This window comes from Homo sapiens, chromosome 11, assembly GCF_000001405.40.
Source record: "Homo sapiens chromosome 11, GRCh38.p14 Primary Assembly".
NCBI lineage: Eukaryota > Metazoa > Chordata > Mammalia > Primates > Hominidae > Homo > Homo sapiens.
Window position 1 is genome coordinate 79,980,393 of NC_000011.10, and position 10,211 is coordinate 79,990,603.

General features: G+C 38.1%; 1 pseudogene, besides 1 other annotated feature; it reads left to right on the forward strand.

Annotated features, from left to right (window-relative positions):
- Positions 496-997: an enhancer, noted in NCBI's record as "NANOG hESC enhancer chr11:79691931-79692432 (GRCh37/hg19 assembly coordinates)". NCBI's record gives its function as "activates a minimal SCP1, AML or CMV promoter by ChIP-STARR-seq in naive H9 embryonic stem cells {active_cell/tissue: H9 hESC(naive)}" and the evidence as "EXISTENCE:reporter gene assay evidence [ECO:0000049][PMID:30033119]".
- Positions 7,089-9,525, forward strand: LOC646112 (origin recognition complex subunit 3 pseudogene; annotated as a pseudogene).
- Positions 9,526-10,211: the final 686 nt, after the last annotated feature.

Genomic DNA, 10,211 nt, shown 5'->3' on the forward strand with positions numbered 1-10,211 from the left:
TGCACACATGCACACACTCACACACACCTACTTTATATGGTGATCTACCTTCTTTCTGTTATTAAAAACATAGCCCAATATTACCTATTCTAGGCAGCCTTTCATTATGGTTGTTGTCAGCCTATCACATCCCCCTCCTCTTTGCTTCTATAGTAATTTTACCTACTTTTATCATAGCATTTATCACATACTTACCACATCCTGCTTCGCTATTTATTGTGTTTACTTATTTATTTTCCTGTCTAGACAATGTCATCCTGAGAGAAGAATGTTCTTGTCTTTGAATTCTCCTTCTCGGAATGGTAGCTGGCACCTAATGGGCATTCATGGGAATGCACATACACCTCGCTTTTCCCCAGGCATTCTGGGTCATGTTGTCATCAAGATCTATTCTAGGTTTCTCTAAATAATATTTCATATTTTGGAGTCTCACTGATTCTCTTCCTATCACCCTAAGCTACTTTCTTGGGGTAGACAGACTGAGGTGGTCCCATGCTCCCTTCTTCTGGATATTCAGGTCTTTGTGTGATCCTCTCCCCTTGAGTGAACAGAACCTGTGAATTGCTCCTAACCAATAGAACATAAAAATATTATGAAATATTGCTCCCTTGACTAAGTTATATCATATAAAACTCTCTCATGACAGACTCACTTGCAATTCTGCCAACAACCTGAGTAGGCTTGAAGCAGATTCTTCCCTATTCAAGTCTGTGAATAACAATGAAGCCTGGCTAATAGCTTGATTGTAGTCTTGTAGATCCCTGAGCAGAGGTCACAGTTAAGCTCTTCCTGTAGTCCTCCTGATCCATAACTATGAGATAATAAATGTATAATGTTTTAAGCTGCTAATTTTGTAGCAAATTGTTGCATGGTGTAGAAAACACTGGGCCTCCAATAGAAATTTCTGAGATTTCAATAAACCCAGACATCAAAACTATAATCCTTCCCAGTAAGTGACATGATTGGAGTCATATATTAAAAGCAGAAAATATAAAATTAGGTGGCACTGATATACAGAGAACCTCAAGGAAAGGTAAAAAAGTGTCAACACACAACAGTCTAGAATGTGTGTGCTTTCCGAGGTCTTTCTACTGGTCTACAATCCTAATGATAATGGGCACTTTCTCCTACATGCATTGGTAACTGAAGCTCGACTCTTCCTTGCATATGTGGGAAGCATTTTTACGTAAAGGGAAAAGGCCCAATATTAGAACATTCTGCCTGTAGCTAGGCATAGGCATGAAGATAGGAGTGAAGGCTAGTAAGAACTGAATTTCAATAAGTTAACAGAATTAAGGCATTATTACTAATGTACCAGAAAGTTATTAAAAGGACCATAAGGGTATATAGCTTCTTCCTGAATTAGGCCATTATATTAATAATAAAATCCATACTTCATTGGTGTCAGCCGAAATGTTGTCAAAGATTGAATGCTTATGCTCTAAGGAGATATGTGACACTCTTTCATGGCCAGGTCAAGGATGCCAGTTAGGTTTCATCATGTATGCCAATGATAATTGATTATTATTGACAGCTTGTATTGAATTAGGCTTCACAAGCAAATATGCTGTAGCTAACCAGCAATGTCTACCATTAGCAAGGGAGAGTGGCAGGGAGGTAATAATCCCCTCCCCTAGGCAGCTGATGAAACTGTGGACTCCATGTTAAAACACATGGAGTTTGAGTCCTGACAATTATATTCACCATCTTGGATATTTGGGTCATGTCACTTAACTTCTCCGAGCCTTAGCTTCTCCAAATTGTTAACCATCTTGAGGAGTCTGAGAATCATTAAGAGAGTCTACGTAACAGTACCCAGCAGAGTGTCAGGCCCCTATCTGATGTTTTTTTAAAAAAAAAAATTTTTACTCATAACTGCCAAACTTGGAAACAACCAAGATGTCCTTCAGTAGATGAATGGATACATAGACTGTGGTAGATCCAGACAATGGAATTCATTCACAATTCACTAATAAAAATCAGCTATTGAGTCATGAAAAGACAGAGAGGACCTTAAATGCCTGTTATTAAGTGAAAGGAGCAAATCTGAAAAGGCTACATACTGTTTATTTCACCCGTATGACACTCGGGAAGAGGCGAATCTCTGGAGACAGTAAAAAGATCAGTGGCTGGCAGGGATTAAGAAGGAGGGAGGGATGAATAGGCAGAGAACAGAGGATTTTTAGGGCAATGAAACTATTCTGTACAATATTACCATGGCACATACATGTCATCATATATTTGTCAAAACCCATAGAATGTACAAGACCAGGAGTGAACCCTAATGTAAACTATGGACCTCAGGTTGTAACGATGTGTCAATGTAGCTTCATTGAGCGTAACAAACGTATTCCCGTGGTGCAGGGCATCCGTAGAGGAAGAGGCCATGTACAATGGGGGTTAGGTGATATATGGGAAATCACTGTACCTTCTGCTCAGTTTTGCTGTGAACCTAAAAATTCTCTAAAAATAAAGTTTACTAATTTTTAAAAAGTCAAATCATTTTGAACCTTTGAATATTTGCTAAGCAAGTGGATGAAGAAATCAGCAGAGTTAAGGGATGAAAAGTGACTGTAATTTGCATTAGAGATAAGTTATAGATATCAGCGGACTGTGAGAAAGTAAATTTCATGACTAGATAGAGATATTAGATCAGAAGAAAAAGGGAATGAAATGAAAAACACGGAGATGAATGTATCAGGAAGAGACAGCCCAAGTGCCCAATGTCAGGAATGGGCTGCAGTTTGAATGATTAAAGAACACAGTGGAAGTTGGCACCTCCGTTTACCTATTTGTGTAACAGCCATGAGATTCACATTACCTAGAACATTACCTAGTGTGAAAAGGTGCCTGTTATCAGAACACTTCCACCACAGTGCCACCAGCAGGATAACCAACTTGTATAATTCCAAAGGCAACATGAATAATGGTAAGATGTTCATTCTTGAAGTGATTAACAGGTGCAGATTGCTATGGAGAAGAGTCAATAAGGAGGCAGAGAGAAGTTACCTTGTGATATGGTTTGGCTGGGTGCCCACTCAAATCTCCCCTTGAATTGTAATAATCTTCATGTGTCAAAGATGGGGCCAGGTGGAGATGACTGAACCACTGGAGCATTTTCCCCCAGACTGTTCTTGTGGTAGTGAATAAATCTCACGAGATCTGATGATTTTATAAATGGGAGTTCCCCTGCACAAGCTCTCTTGCCTGTCACCATGTAAGATGTGACTTTGCTCCTCATTTGCCTTCCGCCTGATTGTGAGGACTCCCCAGCCATGGGGAACTGTGAATCCATTAAACCTCTTTCCCTTATAAATTATCCAGTCTCAGGTATGTGTTTATTAGCAACGTGAGAACAGACTAATACATCTTGCTCCTGCTGAAAGGTAGGAAAACTCAGGAAGAGGTGTCCTCAGCTTTAAAAATAGGCATCCAACTCAGAATTCTGAGTGTGAGCTGATGCTCAAGTCAGAGCAAGGACTAATGCCTAGAGGGGTTCAGGTTGTAAACTGTCTACTGAAGGTAGAGGAACACTCTGCTTCTGGCTGGATGCCATCTTAAGGCTGGAAAGAGAATCAGAAATTACTATTTAAAATCTTGTAACGGGAACACATGATAAACTGTTGGGCCCTTGCCCTGAATTGTGTGTGTAACTCAAGTTTCAAGAGAGAGATGGATAGTTAACTAAGTGTACTGTATGCTATTCTATACTGGGTGCTGTGTGGTAAAGAAATGAACAATAAGCAATGGTAACACAGAAAAGCATTTAATTTGAAAAGTGTCAAAATCTGGCTATGCCATTTTGACTTACAAGAGAAATGACTTTTGCTGACTTCTAGGCTTTCCCTGCCAACGAGCGCAGTGGGATTCAACAATCTCACTGTCAAATGATGTCAATACCATGCTCTGATTCAAGTTGAATGGATTCACGTTTAAGCTGGACCACTTATTAGCATAACTTTGGGCACATCATTTGACCTCTCAGAAACTCATTTTAAAAAATGTTCTGTAAAATGTATCTGTAAAATGGAACTAATAGTAGTATCTACTTCATTAGTCATATCTTAGCAGAGTAGTGTTGACTTAAATCCTGCTTAACAGTGTTGGTGGCAGGACCACTTGAAACAGTGGCTATAAATACTCTTTGAAAATGGTAAAGCACGATACAGATATAAATCATTGATGCTATTGTTTTTTATTTATTATTTAATTTTCAATGCAACTGATTAGAATTTCTGATCTTTAAAAGAAGAGCAGAGTTTTATTTTTGCCATTTCTCTCTTTTTTAAAAATAAAATTATGATATATAGTACCATGCCCTGGATATGGAGTCTTTTTAGTAAAGTCTTAGAATGAGGGACGACTTCTCTTTTCTCCATCACCTCTCTGAGATCAATAGGGCTTAACAGATTGAGGACGGTTTACAGACAGGAGCTACTTCCATGTCATGTTTTAATACACAGATGCAATCTAATGTTCCTGGTCAAGAGGGTAAACATTGTTGCAATACATATATTTGAAAATTGCTTCTCTTCAAATATATATGTATATATATCTGTATATACACAATGTGTGTGTGTGTATAAAATCCTGATGTCTATTCTACAGTGCTTTCTAGTTGCTAAAATTGATCCAAGTTACATTAAACTAGATGTAGTCTCAAACAGAGCCAAGTTGTATAGCTCTGCAACTAGATCTAGCTATATGCTTTTGGTATAAACCTCTTTTTATATTTATTTTTGCGAACATATTTCTTCATATTATATGCAAGGAATGTATTTCTTAATTTCCCAGTCAATTAAAATGTGCTTTGATAAAGAGTAAAAAAGACTCAGCATTATCTCTGAGGACAAATGTGCATTACTTAATGTAACGGTATATTTAAAATGTGGTTTGATTAATGCCAAATCCTCGGAAGGTACATTTAAGGGAAAAACAGCCAGGGTTATCAAACTAGGAATTCTTGTCAAAAAAGATCAGTTCCCATTTCATTTCAACCATTTATCTTTGTAGTTGGTAATGTTTTCATACCTTTACAAGATTTTATAAATGAAGTTCTTTTGATATCCTTTCAAAAGATGCTTAATAAAGTAATGGAACCAATATATATTTTTTTCACCGACTGTTCATGGTAACTGGGAATGGTTTGCAGAGAATAGGAAAATTGCTTTTCTTCAAACTTGCTCAGTAGGGATGAATGGCTAAATTCACTTTTTTTCATACCCGCATTTCATTTAAACACAAATCCCTCTTTTCCCTCACACTTGCCTTTCACAAATTTAAGCCAAGTCTACAAAGAGCAGTAAACCAAAGAAAGAACAATGAGACAGTATTTTAGGTTGTAGGGAATCTATTACAGTGGAAAAATGCTGAATTCTGAATCTGAAAACCTGGGATACAATTTCTACCTTCATGTTGTAATTGGGTCCTTGAGAAAGTTACTTATGCACTAGAAGTTTAATGATAACAGTCTCAATTTTTCTATCTACTAAGTGGAGGATAATAAAATCTCTTCTTGTTTCACAGACTTGTATGTAAAATTCAAAAAAGATCATTATCCACATTATTGTTAACATTTTTGAGTGCTTCCTGTGAATCAAAAATAAATGCAACATATGTAGTGTGTATTAGTGATCCACTCATAAACACAGCAGCCCTATAAGAAATGTTCTATTTGCATTTTGTGATCAAGGAAACAGAGTTTCAGGGAAGTTAGTTAATAGACTTGCCCAAGGTTATAAGTCAATACATGATACAGCCAGGATTAGAATTCAAGCAAATATTGAAGTCTGTGCAGTTAACATTATATAAACTTCCATGATCATAGATATACATGCACTTAGGAAATCATAAAACACCAGGCAAATGCATATGAATTACTATTTACAATTTAAGTAGGGGCTTAGAATGAGATAAACTAACTGGCAATGTGACTGCTATTTCATAAGAGGTTGATAGAAGATATTTAGTACAAGGTCAGTGTTCATCTTGATTTTTATTATATGTTAAAACTTCAGGGCCAGGCGTGGTGGCTCACACCTGTAATCCCAGCACTTTGGGAGGCCAAAGCCATCGGATCACCTTAGGTCAGGAGTTCAAGACCAGCCTGACCAATGTGGTGAAACCCTGTCTCTACTAAAAATACAAAAATTAGCCAGGCATGGTCGTGGGCACCTGTAATCCCAGATACTCGGGAGGCTGAGGCAGAATTGCTTGAACCCAGGAGGCAGAGGCTGCAGTGAGCTGAGATCGCACCACTGACTCAAACCTGGGCAACAGAGCGAGACTCCACCTCAAAAAAACTTCAAAGAAGAAAGTCTCCACCCCATGAAGTTAGAGAGAGGTATGTAGTCAATCTTCTTACCTTAGCTGTATCTTTACTATCGTTTCCCCCTCCCAGCACCCACAAATTATGCTAATTTATGCCCCAGATTGGTACTTAATTTAAAAAAAAAACCTAATGTATTTCACAAATATTTGTTGAATATCTATTATGATTCATTTCTTTATCCATTCTGTACATTCAGCCATGTAAAAATTCTATATAGGAAGACAGAACAAGCTAAATCTATTATAAAGCTATAAGCTGAGTGTCTTATGGGAGGTCAGAGGAAGAGCCAAGAGTCTCAAAGGAAGTGAGAGATATCCCCAGGAAAAAAAGATGGTGAGAATATTCTGAATTATAAACTAGTACATGCAAAGGTAGGAATACCAAAGAAAAAGGGTGTATATGAGCTGAGGGTATATGTATTAGATGGACTTGGTTTCTAAGCCATCAGGTGTGCACTGGTGTAACTGGGAAGTGGGCTACATGGAAGGATGTGATGGAAGAGGCAAGTATCTTCACTAAAGATTCTGGGCTAAAAGAGGTCAATAAGACCAGGCCATGCAGCTCAAAATGCTAGTGCCCTCATGTACGTACTTAAAGTGTCCTATCAGGTACCATCAGGAAAATACCTGTTATGACCCTGAAATAAGTCTAATCGCAAAAGGACAATAGAATCCACTAGTGTTCTGAAATTGCAGTACTCTCTTTAACCTGTACTCTTCCACTCTCCCCTTGGGATCACAGTCAAAAGGTATTCCCGGTTCATCTGGTATCCACAGAGCCAGTAAGACCATGGCCACCTCCTCAGTGTCTAAGGGCTGCTTTGTTTTTAAGCCAAACTCCAAAAAGAGAAAGATCTCTGTGCCAATGGAGGACTATTTTAACAAAGGGAAAAATGAGCCTAAGGACAGTAAGCTTCAATTTGGAACTTAGTTGATATGGCAGCAAATGAAATCTGAAAATGAGCCACTACAAGAGGAATTAAATAAAAACTTGTTTGACAATCTAACTGAATTTCTGCAAAAATCTCATTCTGGATTCCAGAAGAATTCAAGAGACTTGGGCTGTCAAACAAAACTCAGAGAAATTCCAACTGCTGCTCTTGTTCTTGGTGTGAAAGTCACAGATCATGATTTAACATTCAGAAGTCTAACAGAGGCCCTTCAGAATAAAGTCACACCATATGTAGTCTCATCGCAAGCTAAAGACTGTCCAGATATGAAACATTTTTTGCAAAATTTGGTCTCATAATTAATGAACTGCTGTGTACATCTAAAATCCAAAGAGGGGGAAAGCGTTCAGGTCACCCAGAGAAATACACATTATTTAATGGATTCACTTTCCAGTTGGTACATGACTGTCACACAGAAGACAGACCCAAAAATGCCAAGCAAAAAGAGGACTACTTCTAGCCAATGGCAGTCTCCTCCTGTTTTGGCTACCTTAAAGGATATGGAAAGCTTTGCCACAAAAGTACTGCAAGATTTCATAATTATCAGCAGTCAACATCTGCATGAATTTCCACTAATACTCATTGTGGGAATCGCCACATCTATTATCAACCACCGATTGTTTCCTCATGCAGTATCATCTCTGTTGTGTATAGAACTGTTCCAATTTTTGTCTTGCAAGGAGCATCAGACTATGGTACTCAATAAGCTACTTCTTACAACTCAGTTTCCCTTTAAAATAAATGAAAAAGTATTGCAGGTTCTGACCAACATCTTTTTGTATCATGATTTCTCGATTCAAAACTTTATAAAAGTCTTCAACTTTCTTTATTAGAGCATTTCTGTTCCCAGCCCTTAAGTGTCCTGTGCTGTAATCTTCCATAAGTCAAAAGAAGAATAAATTTTTTATCAAATAATCAATGTGAAAACATCTGACGTCTTCCATCTTTTAGGAGATATGTGGAAAAGCAAGCTTCAGAAAAGCAAGTTGCGCTCTTGACCAGTGAGAGATGTTTGAAGAAGGAAACGCAATTATTACTAGAAAACCTGCATGTTTATCATATGAATTACTTTCTGGTTTTGAGATGTGTTCATAAGTTCACCTCTTCTCTTCCCAAGTATCCACTAGGTCGACAGATCAGAGAGTTGTACCGCATGTTTAGAAAAGAACATCCGGAATTCAGAGGAGTACGCATCAGTCTTGCAGCTGCTGAAGATGTTGGCAAAGGATGAACTGATGACCATACTTGAGAAATGTTTCGAGGTTTTTAAATCTTCTTGTGAAAAGCACCTTGGCAGCACAGCTAAGAGAATACAGGAGTTCCTGGCCCAGTTTCAGAGCTTCGATGAAACCAAAGAGGTAGAAGATGCTTCTGGTTCATAGCCAAAGGGGCTTCAGAAGGCAGACCTCTATCATCTTCAGAAGTCTTTACTGGAAATGAAGGAGTTAAGCAGAAGTAAAAAGCAAACCAAATTTGAAGTACTCAGAGAAAAGGTTGTGAACTTCATGACTGTCTAGTGAGAGAATACCTTCTGCCTCCCGAGACACAGCCTCCATGAGGTGGTGTGCTTCAGCGCCGCCCATGCCCTTCGTAGGCATTTAATGCTGCTCCGTGAATTGCCCTCCATACTGCACTCAACAATCCTTACTATTCTCTAAAGAATGAAGCACTGAAAAGGGAAGAAGGGTGCATTCCAAATATCACCCCAGACATCTGCATAGCATACAAATTGTACCTAGAGTGTCGCAGGCTAATCAACCTTGTGGACTATTCACAGGCTTTTGCAACAATTTTGACAGCTGCTGAAAAAATGGATGCAAATTCTACATCCTCAGAAGAAATGAATGAAATTATCTATGCTTGGTGTATTAGAACTGTTTTTGAACTAGAACTTTTAGGATTTATAAAACCTACCAAACAGAAGACTGACCATGTGGCAAGGCTAACATGGGGAGGCTGCTAGAAAGCAAATGAGCAAAGCCAGAACTATCAGATTTAGCTTAAGAGAAAAAGGTGACCAGTCATATTTACATACACTAGAGGAGTGGAGGAGCCTGTTTTGGTGAGAAGATAAATGTGTAATCCTTATGTGATGTTTATCCAGAAAAGTACATTGCTAACTCCAAACAGGCATATATCAAAACAACTGTGGAATACTTTAGAGTCCAACAAATAATATATATAACTAAAACTGCTCACACATTTTACTGTACTTTCCACAAAGTCATTACTAAATTGTGAGTAAATCATTCTTGAACTTATAGTATACAAATGTAATGAATTCCTTTATCCAGGAGTATAAATTTTTTAAAAAAGTATTCCCTTTGACTTATCAGTACCTGAAGAATATTTTCAGAATGAACATGGTTAGGGTCCCTTTGCTGATTATAAAATAGCCAGTTCTTTATCAGAGATGGATTCTTCTTTTAGTCAGTGGCTTAGGTTGGATTACTGCATATTATTTCAACTTAATCTTTTATTTCAGTGATGGTCCTGCCAAATCTCATATTGGCATGACCAAAACTTCAGGCTAGGGCTTGAGATTAATACTGTGCTTGTGAGATCCCATAGTCAGAAACTCTATGGTTTGTGAAGGAAACCCAGGATGCACTCAGCTGGCAGAGCTTTTAACATCACATTCAGAGTGAGTCCAGTCTGCTCTAGCATGGTGGCAACAGCTCAGCAGTGCTAATAGGAGTAATAACTCACATTTGTCTGTAAGAAAATAGAACTAGAAGTCACAGACAGAAAATAAATCAAGGTGGAAGGCGCTAAGTTCAGCCTCACTCTTTTTTTCATAATCTCACGAGTATTCCACATTTTAAAGAAAGCTACTCCTTCAGACGAAGGGAAGAAGAGAGTGTCCCAACCACTCTGTGCCAAGCATTGTGCAGAAACTTTCCCATGAAAGTTCCCAGTTAATCTTCATAT